The sequence below is a fragment of the Homo sapiens genome, chromosome 8 (genome assembly GCF_000001405.40).
Source record: "Homo sapiens chromosome 8, GRCh38.p14 Primary Assembly".
NCBI classification, from domain to species: Eukaryota; Metazoa; Chordata; class Mammalia; order Primates; family Hominidae; genus Homo; species Homo sapiens.
This window is the reverse complement of record NC_000008.11, coordinates 52,208,535-52,227,744: the sequence shown is the minus strand read 5'-3', so window position 1 is coordinate 52,227,744 and position 19,210 is coordinate 52,208,535. Positions and strand designations below refer to the sequence as shown.

Here is a 19,210-nt window from a genome sequence, read left to right as displayed (position 1 = left end):
TATGAATGACAAATCACATTTCAGCAGACAGATCTTGCAGTTCTGACACTAAAGGAAAAAGTTCCTTTGAAACGTACAAATGAAATCATCAAATTCAAAGCATTTAATTTTAGGTATCTAATTTGACCATCAAGTCTTTGACCCTCTTGTAACTATATAAAAATATGGCTTTAATGCATTGTTTAACCAAGCCAAGAACAATTTTGACCATTGGTGTCCTTTCAATTGGTCTTTGGGGACATTGCTTTATTCTAGTCATAGTTCTCTGAATCTCTCTAGGGATGAATTTTTCAGGAATCATCGTCTTCTGGAAGCTTCTCCAGTCTGGTCTAAGTCTGTGCTCCCATTGTTCCTTTTGCCTCCCTCTGTAATAATACCTTCCACATAATATTGTAATATTCAACTTCCTGGTTTGAGCTCTTGAGAACAAGAGTTGTGCTTTATGTATCCTTTTATGCCCACTGTCTAGCATGGCAATCCATAGATTTCTTCTCAATAAGTGTGTACTGAACGAATAATGGGTACATTCTTAGGAGAAAAATACGTGTATTTTTTAAAAATCTTTATTAAATTAAACACTGTAGTGAGAATAAAATCCAAGGATCATTCTGCAAAAATCCAGTGCCCCATTGGCCTCCACAATTGAGTCATGTCATTTGCTTTTCAAGTTTCAATATATTCTCCCATTCCATATCTCATAATCAGATAATAAAGTTAAATAACTACATTTTATCTTAATTCAAATGTACAAAATATGAGGAAGATTTTATGAAAAACAAATAGTCACTGTTGGGAAAAATAGCAGACTTTTTGAAAAAATTCCAAAGAACCTATTAAAGATGGATAAGGAAAATGGAAAATGTCTAAAGCTATCAAGTACATTGTGTAATAATCTACATAATGAAATAGCTTAAATAGAGAAAATTCTCTTTACATAATAAAAAGCTTTATTTGTGAATCAACAAGTGCTCTTTGAACTTTATTAAAAATGTTTTGACATTATCAGGTTGTTTAGTATAGATTTACTGAAAATAGCACATTTAGTTGCAACACAAGCCTTGAAGTTAAGTGGTTAGTTTAATAAAACAGTTTCCATAGTTACCACAGGAAAACTGAGAATAACTTTTATTTCTTTCGAAGCCAGGAAGGGGCTTTAGAGAAAAGATTAAGCAAACAGACCCAGGCAGGTTCATTATGTGGGGCTTCATACCTGATTGGTTTTTTAAAAGAGGAAACTTAATATTACAGAAAATTAAAGTTTTCCCACTAAAATCTATGGAAGCACATTAAGAAGTCTGAACATTTCCTTTCTGTAGGTGTTTACAAGTAGATTCTGAGTTAGAGGGAAAGCTAGTTTAATCCAGCATCTCCATGAGATGCGTTTTTTGCTCATAGTATTTTGTTAATAAACCACATCATAAACAAGTGGTTAAAAATGCCACCCCAAAGACAGCAATGCATTGCTCTGTGTGACGAGTCATGCAATCTTAGATATAACTTTACTATTCATGGTCAACGCTTTGTTGAAAGGCCTGAAGGAAGGGAAATTGAAATCCATGCTAGTGAAGATGTCTCCTTGTGCCAGATTCATTGTTTTCTCAGTTTAGCATGGAGATTTGCTCTCTCTGAGTGTTAATGGAGGTCACTGTTGCTCTGTCCTTTGCTGCATCTAACCCAAGGAGTTCTTCACAGTTGACTGTTGAGAAACAAGACGATGTGTTTTCTAGTATCTCACCTTCAGCTCACCAGCCTTTAAAGCAGCAGTGATTAACAGGACTTTTACGAAGTTTCTATGTAGTTACAAGGACAGTTTCAATCTTCTGTCATTTTTTTGCATTAGCTATGATTATGCTTTTACCACAAAAATGCATTTGTTTTAAAGGTAACAATACAGACTGGGAGAATAGCTTATGTTTCATCTATATTTATCAGCACTCACTGTACATTTGTGTCTTCATTACCAGGAAATATTAAGGGACATTGTGCCATCTATTCCTGTTTACAGTTTATTATGCAGAGATAGGAAACACTTAGCATGTAAAATGAATGTAGAAATTATTCCTGGATAGAAACACGGACATTTCCCACTCGTTGGCTCTTTCTCCTCCATCACCGGATCAGAGTGTAATTGTCAGTAATCAGGCCTGCTTGCTGCTGATAAAACCACTCTGAATGCTAGCAGCCTTCTTTGTGTGATGACTCAATTATTCCAGAAGTGCCTCATCAAATCTGCCCCATCAGCTGGGCTAATAAATAAGGAGAAGAAACTGGCCCCCCAAAGCAAATTATAAATCCATTTGCATTAACCATTTCGCTGGTCCATGATCTAGGCAGAAATAAGCATGGCAGATTGTGTTAAGCTTATTTGAATATGTTTATAATGTTTACAGCATGCAACTTTTTTTTCCCACAAGGTGTTAGAATTATCAGTCATGAATGGCATCTAAATGCAGTTATGTTAATTACAGCAAGGCTTTAAGTATCTTTGAGGGCTATTTTGTTACTTAAATCAGGTAAAAGTTAAATCATCTTGCAGAGAGAAATATAGGTCTTGCATAAGTTATTGCAATTGCTTCAGAGCTTAAGGAGAAGAGATCTATGTTTTATTTTTACAGGGACTGGAAGGACAAATACAAATACTGTTATGCCTACTAGTGTAAGTACAATTACTTCATATCTATCACAGTGAAAACCGGAAGTTATTGTGATGCTCTGGATGACTTCAGCAATCTGCAAAAGCAAAAATTGCATTTTTCTGGGAGCCTATGAGAGTTGCCATAGCATTCCCTGTACTGAAAATTCTTTGAAAGGTTCTATAAGGCAGAGATTTCAAAAAGCTGGGCAAACTAATAAAAATCATTTAAATTCGTCCATGGAAATTGTGTGCATTGACAAATTTTATTCTTTCAAAATGACAAGCTATACGAATAACAAGAAGTTTTGTGTGTATATTTACAACAATCACTCGGGGAAGCGAAAAATGTTAAAAGGTGATAAAGAAAAGTAGTCTGTTTGCTAATATCAAAGAATTCATCTTGTTGAATATGCAACGATTTAAAATCTGAAACATCTTCCCTAAAAGTAAGCGAGATACCATTGACCCACTTTGCCATGGGAGCTGTTTTTCCTGCAGAGTGGTTCCAGTTTTGCTGAAGCTCTTGTTTCTACTCCTGCTGTGATCAGAGGCCTAATTATGGGCTGGTGGTAAAAGTGAAGTTTATAGCCAATGAAGAGTGTTTGTCTTTGCCTAAACATCTTAAATGAAATTCAGTGCTTATCTTCATTTGCTCCAGCCAACAAAGTATATGCCCTAATATTAACCTGGAAAGCTAGGCAGAAGAAAGTCATTTTTGATAGCATAAATATAAAGTGGCAAAAGGCTTACATAATTTTTGTTCATCAACTTCTAAATATATAATCTCTTGCTATGTTGAAAATACCAATTCTACAGCTGATTGATTAGGAACTCCAAAATAAAGGGTTTAAGTTTTCATTAGAAATTTAATGGAGCAAAAGTGGTTATGCAAACTTGACTATAACTTAAAGTATCATACTGACTAATATAAAAATAAAACTAGAAACTTGGGAGTGTAAAGAACTTTTCTTATCATTCAAAAAACTGAGTCAGGCAAGGATAATCTGCTCTTTTTCATCATTCCAACTAACAAATAATTGGTGAAGATATTAGCATTAGAAGAGCGATTAAGAGCTCAATCTGTTGTAAATTGTGGAGATAGGTTCTCAAGGGATAGCAATACTAAGGTAAATGTGCTAAAATTTTTATGTTTACTTATTAAAAAAAGCAAATCTCAGAGTGGTCTTTGGAGTCTGTATCAATATTCTGAACTTCTGAGAGGATGCTATGGTTTATATCAGAACCACAGAATGGTCTGGTTCCCTTGGTATGCAAGTTCCAAAATGAAATTGGTGATGGTGATGACCTCATATTAGTTACTATAGCACAGGGTTATGAGTGCTACATCCATTTCATGTTAAACTTACTTGCCCTTTCAATAAATTTTTCACTTTGAGTTTAGTTTTGAGGACTTAAAAAAAAAATCACATCCTTTGGAACCATAAGTAAATTTTTTTTTTTTTTTTGAGACAGAGTCTCACTCTGTTGCTCAGGCTGGAGTGTAGCAGTGTGATCTTGGCTCACTGCAACCTCTGCCTCCTGGGCTCAAGTGATTCTTGTGCCTCAGCCTCCCAAGTAGCTGGGATTACAGGCACATACCACCACACTTGGCTAATTTTTGTATTTTTAGTAGAGACAGGGTTTCACCATGTTGGCCAGGCTGGTCTCAAACTCCTGGCCTCATGTGATCCACCCGCCTCGGCCTCCCAAAGTGCTGGGATTACAGGCGTGAGCCACCACACCTGGCCAAGGACCCATAAATAAATCTATGATTCTCTACTTTGGGGATACAATTAACATGTATATCATTATCAGTTTAGGTCATTCATTCTAACTGATAAAATATAATCTGATATACTCTATTTTTGAAAAAAATAACATACCAGACTCATTACCTTGTAGCACAGGTTTAAAGAACTGTCTTTCTCAGGCGCAGTACTCATCCATGAAGCAGCCATAAAGGACTGAGAGTCCCTAATTATTGGCAGATAGTAAAGTGGACAAACGTAGTCCTTCGTGATGACTTTATTTAACAAGCGAAGCCATGTCATCATCAGAGAGCACACTTTAGAATTGGGTAGCCCGTTAGGTTACTAACACCTCACTTGTCACATCATTTCCTTTTTTTAAGATTCCTTTTTCATTAAAAAATGAGTTTCAATGCAAAAGTATTCATCTAAGTAGGTGGGGGCTAAAACTAACTCTGTTACAAGTTCTGGGAGCTTGATCAAGATTCTAAGTCTTAGGTTAACTGCCTTCAAAAATGTGTATACTGCATGAATATTTTGGTAAGTCCTTAGCCCTCATAACATATTTAAGATCAAACTCAAAAAAGTATGGCAGTTAAGAAAAATGGTTTTTTAAAGGTATCTCCTTGATCTGATAGTGCACATGCAGGGACTAGAGTGATCCGATGTCAGTCGCAGATTCCTTTTGGTGTCTGCCAAGGGTGTGGAGTTATTAATGATAGACACATGGATGGAGAGCCTCTGCAGGGCTCCTCGTTCCCATTTGTATGTTGGTGTGCTTAGACTTCATGAACTCTATTGTGTCAAATCATATTTCTAAAGTTATATTTTGTCAGTGCCCTCTGTGCACTTCTCCAAGCCGATCTCAGCTGTGCTGCCTTCACTCTCTTCCCCAGGGAGGGGAGCCACGGCAGATGGGGTTAGGGCAGAGGGCTGATGCATCTGACAGCAAACGGCCGGGCTGTTGAGTGGAAGCTGTGAGCGTCAGGAAGCTACTTTTCCCCTGAGAACCAACTAACCACTGAAGAAAGTTGAAAATGAGCCCTTTGAGAAATGCTATTAAAAGTAGTAAAAAATTGCAATTGTGCAGATGATGTGCTGCTGTGTGCTTATTCGAATGCTAATGAGTTTGACATTAGGGAACTCAGAGGCTTTACAGCTACTCCCTTATGTGATTCAGTTCTTTATTGGCAATCTTTGAGAAAATAAATGGAAAATGTATTGCTAATAAATACATAACACGATAGGGTATTAGACAAAAAGCCATTACTTTCAGGATTTAGAAAGAGCTTTGTTTGCCAGTGTGACTGTTTTCCAGGATCTTTTGTTTTAGGTTAGTGTATGGCAAACAAAGGGGAATAGGCAGGTGGAAAGCTTCAGAACTCTTTCTGAACTGAGGGCGCAATAGAATAGGCCAAAAACATTTGGAGAGAAAGCCGTTTTTTTTTTTTTAGTTGCAATCAAACGCAAACTAAGAATTCCCAAGCTCCTGTGCTACTTTTCAATTCTTACATCATGTGCAGTAATCTGCTCTATCACTTGAGAGTTTTATCTCCATTTTTCCCCAGGAACTACAGTTGCTGACTTAAGTTGAAGAAGCATCTATTTAATGTCTGGTCAAATCCTACAAGAAACACAGAAATCTATGATTAAAAAGCTGAGCACTTTGATATACTGCAAAGGGTAGAGAAGGCAGGACGGTAGAAATTTTCTGCAAGAAAGGTTGGTGGCTTGTGTTTTAAAACATCAGAACTGCCAGACATAAACATTTTAAATGTGCATGGATACACGTGATGTTTGTATAAATTGGTTCCTCTAGTATGTTGAGTGCACGACACTGAATTTCAAAGTTTTCTCTCAAGGGCCAAATAGCCTGATGAAAACTGATTCTGTGCTCATCCCTGGGACCACATAGAGGTGAGGCACCTCTGTGTATGATGACTGAACACACAGTAAACCAAGGGCAAAGCATTTCATTGGACGACAACTTAAAACATTAGCAAAAGGATTGGTATCATGTTATGATGGTCTCGTTAAAAAGAACCCTAAGTAACAAAAGAATACATTTTGGATCTGCCTTTTGTGACCGCTTGAGTATAGTACATTCCAAATCTTGCCTCAACTTTTTATTTTGGTGGTTAAAAGTAAAAATAATAGTAATGATCATTAAGAGTCCCTCTTATCTAATTTCCCAACTAAATTGAAGAAGTAATAGAGTGGTAGGTAGATAGATAGATAGATAGATAGATAGATAGATAGATAGATAGATAGATAGAGATAGGTAGTTTGGTAATAAAGACAAAAATAAATTTGGCTTACCTTAAAAAATAAAAAACTATTTTTCCCCATTGATACATAGTATAAAAATTGTCATTCTATTTCTACTGTAGTACAATCAAACTATAGATAAGTGTCAACACTTTGTTGATTGTTCATTTAAGTGTTTATTGCTGCTCTTCTATTTATTTGTCCAGCCTGATATGCTTTTCTTGTTTGATTTCTTATCTCAATAGAATGAATTTCAGGATTTATCACTAAATAAGACAAAGTCATTTATTTAGTCCCCCTGACACAGCAGGGCAAACTGAGTTGACATACAAGTTACCTGGAGAAAAAGAGAGGTAAGGCGACATTTTTATTTATTAAAAAGTAGAACATGTTGAAAGAAAATGAATTCAATCAAAGAATTTATACGAAAGCTCTCCTCTACAACAGCTCTTTCTCTGTGGATTCGCTTACAAATTTATTGTTAGTGTTGAATTTAGAATTGCAATTTTTGTCAGAAATACAGCCATTTAATATTTTAAAATATTAAATAGGCAAAGTCCTCTGAGCCTACAAACCGTTTTGCATATTGATTGGTATGTATTATTTGTTCACACGTTTGCCTTTAAGGAAAGTTTGATTGTTAAAATGGTTTTCAAAATCCAGTTTACATTCGTGTTAGAAATTAGTTTGTTTATGGATTAAGAGTAAATAAGCAAGATTTTAAAAGCACAATGTTTTAAAAAGTACTGTGGATGACTTCTGGAGTGAATTTATGCAAACACTAAAAAGTAATAATTGGATTATTCTTGAGAGAAATCTATTTCAAATGATCTATCCCTATATGAAGGAGCTTGATTTCTAACATTGACATATTTTGCAACAGATGCATCTCAAAATAACAGCAAGAAAAAAATTGTAAAGGCCCTTTTAGTGTGTTACTTGCCCTGAGTTTTCTTTAATCTGGGGATATTAAAAATATACATCAAAAAACAAACTGTCTTCTAAAACGTAAAGCTGGAGATTGCCCCCTAATGTCACAAAGCTGTGACTCTGAGGCCGTGGTACAGTGACTAATAGAAATCCCTGGCACAAATTGGTTACCTAAGGGAATAATAGGACTATTTGCTGGAGTCGTTTGGCAAAAAGACACCAACACATGGCTTTGGTTTATATTCAGCATTGCCAGTTGCACAAAGTTGCAGGATGAAGTCTACACCAGCAGTGACAACTCAGAAATCAGAGAGAATCAAAACCAACCATTCACCTTATAATGCTACCCAAGCTTGTTTCAGGTCTCAGGTTTCCTTTATGGCAGTGCATTTCTAAGAAGCTCTAGGAAATTTCCTTTGAAAATCATCTCTTCTGGGGGGAATGTGCCTACACATGGCCCTCAGGAAGATCTGCTTCCCAGAAAACTCTACTTAAAATGACAGTGGACTGAATCTATTTTTTCCTTTGAGTTTGGTATTTACAGGTGTAGGAGGGATTAGGGGAGACAAGGAGAAGGATCATAAACCCAAAGTGCACACATCCTTCGATTCTTCAGTTCTCTGTATAGAGCCAAAGACAGTAAAATAAGAGGCATACAAGAACAGAGCATTGAAATCAAGAATAGTGTGCAAATAAAAGATGAAAAGTTTTGAAAATTATAAATATGTTGTCACAGATGGTGTAAAAAAGACATGGTTTTGTTAGAGTTTAGTTTTTTTTAAGTTTACTTTCTGAATTCGCTCCTATTCTTCCTGAGTTATTAATAAATGCATGAAAACAAAACTAGAAAAATAAGAGGAAAGGAAGAACAGAGAAAAAACATACTTAAACATTCTTAGTACTCCTCTCCACAAGTCAACTAGCATCCTTTTAGTACTGCAGCTCATTTTTCCCATGATTTTTCCTTGTGTGACAGGTAAACATCTTTGCTCCCATTGTGAGCTGCCCCAAAGCTATGTTTAAAACAAAATGATGCCAGAATCATCAAAAGAAAGGGCACTCAATGTAAGATTCTTTGTTCTTCAATCTGGCCAAATTTCAGTCCAAGATGCTGGCATCATCTAGTTGTTTGGTGGTCTGGGCCTAGCCATTTCCAACTTCTTGAGTTTTTCTTCATCATTTTTTTTAAAAAACGTGATTTTTGAAAAGGAAGCATCCACTGTAGATAAAGCGTTCCTCATGGAGAGGACCCCAGCAGCTCTTCTCAGCAGCCACAGATCTTCCTCCCACCATTGCTGTGAGTCCCCAGGACTGAAACGACATCTCACAAGAGCAATGTAACACAGCGACAGAACCACACTGCCAGGTCAAAAATCTCAGGCGATGAGCACAGCAAAATCTTGTTCAAAAGGGTGCTTACTGCAAGTTGAATGTGTGTGATGGACTTCTCAAATTAAGAGCGGCAGCCGGGTGCAGTGGCTCATGCCTGTAATCCCAGCACTTTGGGAGGCCAAGGCGGGTGGATCACCTGAGGTCAGGAGTTCAAGACCAGCCTGACCAACATGGTGAAACCCAGTCTCTACTAAAAAAAAAAAAAAAAAAAAAAAAATTAGCCAGGCATGGTGACACATACCTGTAATCCCAGCTACTCGGGAAGCTGAGGCAGGAGAACCGCTTGAACCCGGGAGGCAGAGGTGAGGTTGCAGTGAGCCGAGATCATGCCATTGCACTCCAGCCTGGGCAACAAGAGCAAAACCTCATCTCAAAAAAAAAAAGAAAAAAAAAGAGTAGCTACCTGCATGATATATCTATCTAACTAGACAATTTTACGATTAATTTTATAAGGGTTTTCAGAAAGCGCCCTCAAAACATTGTGGTCACCATGACATTTTCTGCAATTATTAAGAAGCTCAAGACTACTTATAAATGTATATTATATATAGAGAGAGAGGTATATTATAAATATATATTAATGTGTAGAGCCCTGTTGATAGAAACAAAACCTCAACATAGCCAAGGGATTTCTTATGTTCAGCTTTTTAATAAGTAATTAAATTTTTACTTGGACAGCTGGGTTTTGTTTTGTGTTTTTGTTTTTGTTTTATTTGCCATTAGGTTAAAATAGAATTTTAAGTGAAAAATAAAATCTAAGGGAAATAAAACCTCCCCACATGTCAGTAATTGGCTTGTGTGAATGAAAGCAAAACTGAGTTTATGAATTCTATGTCCTGCTCCTTGAATCTCTTCCCTCCCACAAAACAGCAATTCCAGGACTTCCTCTTCAGCCTAAAAGAAGGTACCAGATCTGTGCACTGGGGCGATGTGGAAGAGACCTGCTTATTGCCCCTGATGTAAGCTCCAGTAAGAAAAGACGTCAAGTACAAGTACTAGGAAATCACTTTATACATCTGTTTATAGGTTTGTAAGTACATAAAGATATTAAATGAGAGCTTTCCAAATTCAACCCAAGAGTTCAATTTCATTTTCTGGTCATTTTTCTTCCTCATTGTGTATCTGCTTATTTCCATCATTAGCTCTTGCATGTTTTCCTCCAAGTTTTGCTTTTTTGGCCTTCTTTATTTTGTACATGTCTTTTCCTCTTGCCATTTCACCTTGCATTCACCCCTCTCCCCAGAAAACTGGGACATTAAGCCCTTTTCGAAGTTTTTTTCATGGCATTATTAAGAATTAGAGACTGAGCAAGAACCACATTTTTCTCCTTTTTATATAAATATTATACATAATAAGTTGATACTTATCATTTAAACTGAACTTTTTTCTTAAAGTAGTTTCAAGTTAGGGAAAATAAGAGTGGCAGAGTTTACCCTTACTGTTCTTACTCCTATCGAGAAGTACATTCTCAAAGCCAGGAGGAACCCATTTTAGGAATTTCAGAATATATCTTCTGTCAGTTTTCATCTATAATGAGGTATATGAGAATGAAGTATATAAATGCCCTAAGAAATCTGGAAAGGAACAGCTTTTTAAAAAATAAAACCTCTGTTTTGAGAAAACAAAGGACTCATTAGGTTTTACAGACATAATTGCAAGCTTATCAATAGTATTCGGGGCTTAGGCAGTAAAGACGATCAAGTCTTCTTTTCCAGGGGGAAGAAAACAAAGTTCCCAATAAGAAGTGTAATTTTCAAGACTTCAGAACAAGTTAGGTTGATTTCTTGAATCATACCATAATCATGTGCCTCATCTCTAATTCCGGAAGACTTTGAAAGAATGATAATCTACCTCCACCCCACCCCAGGGGCCTGAACACACACACTGACGTGGAAATCTTTTTCCACTTCTAATGATCCATTACTTGGACAAGGTACTCATTGAATATGAGGCCTGATTTTACAAAAATTAAACCTACCCATTGGCAATTTATTGAGGTCCGTGAGAATAATCCAAATGAAGAATACTTAAAATATCTACTCCCATAGACAAGGTTCTAGAAACCAAAACCTATTTTTGAATTGAGATCTATGAGAAGAAAGAACCATCTCACGAGCGATAAACTCTCCACACCGAAAAACACATATGCCTTCAGTTTCTTATGTTCTTATTCCCCAATGAGCCCCAGACTTGAGTAGACACAATGTAGTAACTTTTGTTTTCTATGTGTAAAGAAGAGAAAGCAAGTGAAACAGTTGAGTTTTATATTATGGCCTTGATCCATTTCACTCCTGCAACTTGACCCACAAGTTAAATTTGAAAACTTAATTCTATGAATGAGTTCTCAGTTTTTAAATATGTTTGTATAGGATATCTATATCCTATACCAACAAGAGACAATAGCTCAAACAGAACACAATTATGAGACCAGCATTCCAAGCACAGTCAAAGGGAGGTCCATGAATATTTATGTATCCCTTCCAATGACTTTAGTAGGGAGCGGCTGCCTGGAGTGGTGACAAGGCAACCAGGCCCTTGGTTAGCTGAATTGCAAAATAGAATTCAGCTTAAAGCCGGTGTAAAGAAGATTGCACTTAAGTATGCTTCTGAAATTTTGATTTGTGTCCACTGGCACTCTTTGCAGGTTGTGTTTCAGTTTTGCTAAAGAAACTCACGGAGTTCATCCTTGCCTTTTGGGCAATTCTTCAGAGTGGTTAGGGTGAATTAATACCATCCATGTGGCAAGATAACAATAGGTTGGTGTTGCTTTGTGGAGGCTCACACATAGAAGTGGCTTCCTCAGAAATATGTGTTGGTTTTCATCATTTTCACCCTCACATGCTACTGATCTCTCATAATCTAGTTATTCATTTAGCACATGGAGGGGCATTCGCTAGAGTTGAGCCACTTTGTATGCAACAGAGATACTCACGGGAGGAGGGGGATTTCACAACACAGTGCTTACTATCCTGAGTAAACCAAGCCATTTTCATCTTAGGCAGTGTCACATCTGTCATAAACTCATGTGGTCTGAAAAGAAGGAAAATTGACAGGAAAAAAATCACCCCGGTTTTATTGTTGTTTTCTCTTATTGTGTAGTTTTAAAGTATTCATAACAATGGACCATTTTATTTAGACTATAGCAACTGCTGTTCAGCAAAGGCAGTGAACACTTTTTGTTTGCTAGTTTAAAAAGCAGTTCAACGATTGGTGTGGTGTTTATTATGAAATGATGACAAAAGAGTTCTGGTGGTTTTAATAGTTTTAGCTTACGAGAGCTGTCGTTAATTTTGTCTGTAGTGTTGCAGGTGAAAAAATGCACAATGGATAAATAGTCTATATTGGTTTAACTGAACATAATATATAGTGTGTTCTGGAGTTGTTTGTCTCAATAGACTATAGTAATCAAAAGTAATGAAACTATTATGTGCAGGACCTTGGAGAGCGTCGAATGGCAGTAAAAGTGTGGCACATAAAAGGTTTATTAAAGGAAATTAAAGTCCATCATTGCCACACCTGCTCCCCTATTATAAGTCTATGGCAGGTCAGTGCCTTCAATCACAACTCAGCCTCTGAGAGCAGAAATGCAGCTCCCATTACCATTGCAGTCACACCACATCAGAGCTAGTGTCAGGATTTAAGGATGGGAGCCACTGAGCGCACCTTCTGCCTGCCTCTGATTTTCAACAAGCAAAGCAACTTATTTATATTTAAGAATTCCTCCTGATAATGTGCAGAAGTGAATTAAACTAAGAGATGATTCGCGGATTCTAGTGAAATGGATGGGTGTATCAAGGTCAGAGTCTGAAAACAACAGGCTTTTAAAGTCTTTGCATCCCTTTGATAATTGATTTGATGACATTTAAAATATTTAATAATGATGTTTTGGAGAATTTGACACTGGCACATATATCACTCAAATTTCACTTTCCTTATACATTTGAATGATTATAACTGGTATTTATTCTGAAATTCTGAGAGTAAACATATGTCATTGTTGATAATCAAAATTTCTAATGGTATTTTCTGGGGGCATTTGAGGGGTTTGTCTTCATGGTGCTTTTTTACACGAGGAATCATTTTTTTCCAAGCTTAGAAAGAGATATGTATCAGGAAGAGTCTGGAAATGTAAAAGGACTTAGGTTTTAGTAAATTGGTTTGAAATCTTTTGGTTTGACATATGAGGTTTCATCTCCTTCACAGCCACTGTTAATGAGATGAGCCTTTTTCTATCTTTGTAATGCCAGAAGTGTTTGAGTCACTTCAAACACTTGTGGACAAGGACATCTGCCCTCTTGTCGCTGTTCTCTCTGGTTTCCAGCAACTGTAGATGTATTTCCAAAGCTGGTGGTATGTGGGGGGAGTCACAGTTATGTACTATAGAGCCGGGCTGTGAGTCAAGAGCATGGAAGGCTACTGTTTTTCATAATGACCTTCAGAACTTCTAATTACATGTTTTCATATTTTGGTCAATGTCAAAGGAATGACCTCAGGACTTTGTGTTCATGTTATAGATGGATGCAGAGGCTGAAGATAAAACGCTGCGTACTCGCTCTAAAGGAACCGAGGGTGAGTTAGCAAGCAGGTTCTATGACACTATGCCCACCACACCATGAAATATGAGCGTTCCAGTGCTCAGTCCCTCGTGTGCAGTCAGAATGATTACAACTTCCTCAGGGCTTCTTTTTTCAAATCAAGCCAGGACACTGGCTCTTGGCACGGAGAGGCAAAATATTATGAACGAGGAGTTAAAGAACTCAGAAAAGTCCAAATGATCTATGATGCTAATTTTTACAAAATGCAATCATGAGTGGATTTGAACATCACGCAAAACAGCATAAGGTTCAGCAAGTGAGGGATGTTTCATGGAAACTTTCAAATTATGGAAGTGACCTTTAATGGCCAAGGGAAAAGACAGAATTGTTAGTTTATTGTCAAAGCAGGTTTTGATTTTTATGTTATCTGGTTTAGTGGCTCCCAACCTAAACTTAGTTCAAGTAAAATGATGGTGTTTGTTTTTTGACTGTCTCAGCTGGGAATTTCCAGCAGCTCTGATGTCTGGAAGGTTTAACTTGCTGGTTATCTCTCTCTTTTTGTAACCAACAGATGGTAATGTAATATTGAAATATAAACAGGCCCTTGATGATCTAAACATCTGGAAAACAGGATTGACTGGCAATAATACCCCTTAAGGAAAATAAATTTTATTATAATTGGCTATATTTTTGTGACCCTTAATTCTAAGTGGAAAACTCTAGGTTCGCCACAGCCTCTGAAAACACTCTGGATAGCTGTTCCCCACCCACCCCAACCCACCCTCCTCAGAGTCCACCTCACAGAGGAAAAGCTGTGGCAAAGCCGTGACCCTGCAGCCCTTTAGGAGGGTGTTGAGATGTACAACTGACAGCGGCTGATCAAATGGAATGCTTTCGTTATCTATATTTGTGTATGTAGTCAAGATAGTTAATGCCTGTTTGAGCAAAGTCCAGAATCCCAACATTTTTAATAAATTCAAGGAAAATTTTTTTCAGTTACAATATAACCATGGTTATCATTAACCATGGTAATCAAAATGCAGAATAATGCTGTGCTCATATTAGATTTTTTCTACCTAAACAGAAATTTTATACTGTATTATTTTCCAGTCTTACTTTATATTACTTTTAAAGTAACCATGTTATATATCCTAATATTTGGAATGTAGTATTTCTAAACAATAGCTTTTTTACGGAGCAAACTTCTCAATAGGATACCAGCTTAAGAAAAGCAGTTTGTCTCACTATTTGGAATAAGCTTATGCCTGCCATAAATATCAGCATGCTAGAGTGTGTATTTCGATTATTTGAATTTCTTATTTTGACTTCTAAAAGCACACTACTCTGTCATACTTTTAAAATGTGGGTTTTTTTAAATTTGCAATTCCTTTTGGACTTTAAATTCCTCTGGCACAGGCATGAACACCCTTAGTAGAGCCAAAATGTTCTTCTAGAAATGAAACAACTGTTTCTCGTGAGGCATGAGTAATCTTTAAAACCACCTGTTGTCTCTCTCAATATGCTGCTTATCCTTGTGTAGGCAGGTATTTATAAACATGAACTTCTTTAGTTCCCATCATTTCAGTCAGAAAAATCAAAGCTGTTTTTCCTGTAAGTTCTTCATTTTTAAAAGGTTGGTGATATTAACATGGCTGAAGCTCATCCTCCCCTTTCTATATGGAGGAAGTTTATGAGTAAAAGCATGGGACATATTTATTTAGCAAAGCTTTACCAGTTTTATTTGAATGTGTGTTTAATATTAATAAAGATATAATCTTGGGATTCCTTTTGAATAATTTTGTACTAAAAATAAAATGTATTTAAAAAATAATCTGAATCATTTGTGCTCCTGTGAATTTTCAATGAATCTCTAAGGACAGGTACCTGGAAAGTCCAATCTACGATTATCAGGCCCCAGTTCACCCAAGGTACTAAACCCACAGCCGGTCTGTTCTGGGCCATATCCATCTGTCCTCTCATCTCCAAAGAACTAGAACAAGAAAAGATGAACCCACCCAGTGAGAAACTTATTGGTCGTTACCTCTAGGTGGGGGAAAAGTTTCCATTATACAGTTTTGAAAATTATCAACTGATTAAGTCTTCTTTTTTTTCTTCTTTTGTCAACAGTGCCAATGGATTCACTAATCCAGGAGCTCAGGTAAGATTTACCCTATATTACTTTTTTTTCACATTAATGGGCCTTGATTATTCGAATGATTTGTACTTTTCAAGCCTCAGAATACTTTTTTTAGCAGAAGGAATTGGCTAAAGGGCTTTTTCCATCCAGACGTTGTGTATGCACCAAGAAGGCGGAGGAGAATGATTGTACTGATACTCGATCCTGAACAACTCAATCTATTGTATTAATGAAATAACAAAACAATTTTTGCTGTGATGTGAGTGGTAGCCCACTTTTCTTCATCAAGCATGTGATCCCTTTGTGCACACCTTGCATGCGGTTGGATTTCACACTGATGGTCAGGGAAGAGCTGAGCTGTTATCCATGAACCTGACTGATGGATAACCCAGATCCTAAGTTATCCACTTCTTGCATTAAATAATTAGATGATTCCAGGCTGAGGTGAGCAGATTTTCTGAGCTCAGGAGTTCAAGACCAGCCTGGGCAACATGGCGAAACCCCGACTCTACTAAAATATAAAAAATTAGCCAGGCATGGTGGCGTGTGCCTATAGTTTCAGCTACTCAGGAGGCTGTGGCAGGAGAATTGCTTGAACCCGGGAAGCGGAGGTTGCAGTGAGCTGAGATCACACAACTGCACTCCAGCCTGGGTGACAGAGTGAGACTCCATCTCAAAATAATAATAATAATAATAATAATAATAATAATAATAATAATAATTAGATGATTCCATCAGGTAACTAATTTTTTAACCTAAACATGGGAACATAATGTGACCAATAGTTTTTTTGAGTGGATTCAAGCATTTTCGTCACAGATATTGCTGCTACTACACCTCAGGCAATATTGTGAAAATTCCACCTTAACAGGTTTTCCAGGATAAATTCTAATTAGATTTTCTTTCAGAGTCTTTGTCAGGGTATAGTTAAAGAAAGTACATTTTTTAAAGAAGAAACACATGCAGACGACACATTTTCTGTCAGGAACAAGATAATTGCTCTGTACATTTCTCTGCATGTGCTATTGACAACCTAGGAAGTCCCAAATCCACTGTTTAGTTCACCTTTCCAGAAACAGCCATGGTCTGTATTTGTTCCTCAGGGAAGTGTTTGAAAAATGAAGGATGTGTAACAGTGTCTAATACACTTGAACTTTGTAAGGTATGCAATTTACACAGTTCTTTCTCCAGGCAACTGAGCTTGTGATTCCTCTAAAACACAGGCTGTCACCGTTGCTTCCATGTGGCTTATGATCTCCGTCATAGCCTTGGTTCATTTATGTAGCGAAACACTTATCTGTTAGAATTCATGCAGATACTCTTCTCTGTGGAATTTGTCAGTAGGGAATCCATGGCCCTACCTGTGTAATCAATTTTGTCTTAAGAATTTTGTTTTAATTTTATTTTTATTTTTATTTATTTATTTTTTTGAGACATGGTCTCAAAAAGGGTCTCACTCTGTCTCCCAGGCTGGAGTGCAGTGGTGCAATCATGGTTTGCTGCAGCCTAAAACTCCTGGGCTCAGGAAATCCTCCTGCCTCAGCCTCTCGAGTAGCTGGGAGTACAGGTGTGTGCCACCACACCCGGCTAATTTTTATATTTTTAGTAGAGACAGAGTCTTGCTATGTTGCCTAGGCTGGTCTCAAACTCCTGGGCTCAAGTGTTTCTCCCACCTCGGCCAGAGCTTTGGGATTAACAGGAGTGAGCCACTGCACCTGGCTTAAGAATCTTAATTTTGAAAGTATTTTGATAAGAACAGGACATATAGTATACCCCTACATTTGGACAGGATTAAATTGTTGAATAACCTTGCTCATTTAAATTATTGCCTTTAAAATTTGCTCTTATTTAAAGTTCTTATATTTCTGGAGGCTTTATTTATGTCCCCTGTAGAATAGTCAAGAGAAGTTTAAAATGACCCAGTGCTCCAAGTGGGGGACATGTTTGCAGTCCCTGGAGTGGTTTCTTGGTTCTTGTTGCAGAATCAGTGTGCCCGTGGACATGAGGCCACTTACCTGGTGAGGGACACCAGAGTCCTTTAAAGGAACCAAGTCATTCAGAGAAAAAAAGGTAGTGACGTTTCTTGAAAACAACTTTTACTCAAGAGAATCTTTAAGGAATTAATGTGTGTACATTGGCCTAGAAGAGAAATATAATTCATAGAGAAAAAGTTAGGTATTAGCAGAGAGAAGCAAATTTGTGGGAAGAAATGTTTACTGTGCTCTATGTGGAGAAATAGAAATTACTATTTGAGCATGTCAGAAGCATTAATAATTATAATAAGCATGTATATATATATATATATATATATTTTTTTTTTTTTTTTTTTGAGATGGAGTTTCGCTCTTGTTGCCCAAGCTGGAGTGCAATGGCACGATCTCGGTTCACTGCAACCTCCGCCTCCTGGGTTCAAGTGATTCTCTTGCCTCAGCCTGTCGAGTAGCTGGGATTACAGGCATGAGCCACCATGCCGGGCTAATTTTGTATTTTTAGTAGAGACGGGTTTCTCCATGTTGGTCCGGCTGGTCTCGAACTCCTGATCTCAGGTGATCCACCCACCTCGGCCTCCCAAAGTGCTGGGATTACAGGCGTGAGCCACTGCACCCAGTCAATAAACTAATATTTATTGGGGTCCTATGTGCCAGACACTCTTGAGCTTTCTTAACCTCTATTATCTCACTTAATCCTCCCGATAGCCTTATTAGGCAGAAACTATGATATTTCAGTTTTCAGATGAATAAAGTGAAAATAAATAATTTATGGAAATAGCCCAAGGCTACACAGCTGGTAGGCAATCCAGACTTCTGACTCAAAGGCCAGCTTCTCACCCACCAGACTAGTCTTTATCTCACACACAATTAATACTGTTTAGAGTAGAAACCAAAAAGTGATTTAAGCAACAGATTTCTCACAGTCTATATTTTTAACCCTTATGGTTTATCTTTCAAACAGCCTAGTTTTTTTAAATTTGGACAAATAATATACTTTAAGATAATAATGTTTTCTATTTTCCTAATTCTCTAACGATTATCTTTTGTCACATATTTCATTTTAACTAATTTGTTATTAGAGTAACTCAGAAAGCTAATGATACTTGCTGGGAAAATTTATAAACATCATTAATTCACCTATTTTTATTTAATGAGACCCAGCTTATAAAAATCACTAAGTGATCATTTGAAATTTTATAATCATTTCTGTTCAACAGAATGACCATGCTTAGACAGGCAAGGTCCCAAGTTGTTTTATTTATCTATTTATTTATTTATTTATTTATTTATTTTGGCGAAGCCTCACTGTGTCGCCCAGGCTAGAGTGCAGTGGCGCGATCTGGGCTCACTGCAAGCTCCGCCTCCCGGGCTCACGCCATTCTCCTGCCTCAGCCTCCCTAGCAGCTGGGACTGCACCACCACGCCCGGCTAATTTTTTGTATTTTTAGTAGAGACGGGGTTTCACCGTGTTAGCCAGGATGGTCTCAATCTCCTGACCTCGTGATCCTCCCGCCTCGGCCTCCCAAAGTGCTGGGATTACAGGCGTGAGCCACCGCGCCCAGCCCCAAGTTGCT

The 19,210-nt window shown here is 37.4% G+C and overlaps 1 protein-coding gene across 60 annotated transcripts in view, besides 1 other annotated feature; it reads left to right on the top strand.

Moving 5' to 3' along the window:
- The window catches only part of ST18 (ST18 C2H2C-type zinc finger transcription factor), a 299,042-nt gene that overhangs the window by 182,135 nt on the left and 97,697 nt on the right, over positions 1–19,210 (top strand). For 14 of the 60 annotated variants that reach the window (NM_001352872.2, NM_001352833.2, NM_001352858.2 and 11 more), the window contains 4 exons: positions 5,952–6,105; positions 6,897–7,004; positions 13,488–13,542; positions 15,636–15,666. In NM_001352872.2, the coding sequence (NP_001339801.1) occupies positions 13,488–13,542; positions 15,636–15,666 (86 nt within the window). In that variant the 5' untranslated portion in view covers positions 5,952–6,105; positions 6,897–7,004. Of the gene's footprint in view, positions 1–2,615; positions 2,657–5,951; positions 6,106–6,896; positions 7,005–9,843; positions 10,004–13,454; positions 13,543–15,635; positions 15,667–17,627; positions 17,716–17,977; positions 18,192–19,210 lie in introns of all 60 variants that reach the window. The other 46 variants (NM_001352876.2, NM_001352829.2, NM_001352827.2 and 43 more) reach the window with 15 other exon arrangements.
- Positions 14,110–14,318: a silencer, noted in NCBI's record as "fragment chr8:53125987-53126195 (GRCh37/hg19 assembly coordinates)". NCBI's record gives its function as "represses an EF-1alpha promoter that drives an FKBP-Casp9 reporter gene in an ReSE screen in K562 erythroleukemia cells {active_cell/tissue: K562}" and the evidence as "EXISTENCE:reporter gene assay evidence [ECO:0000049][PMID:32094911]".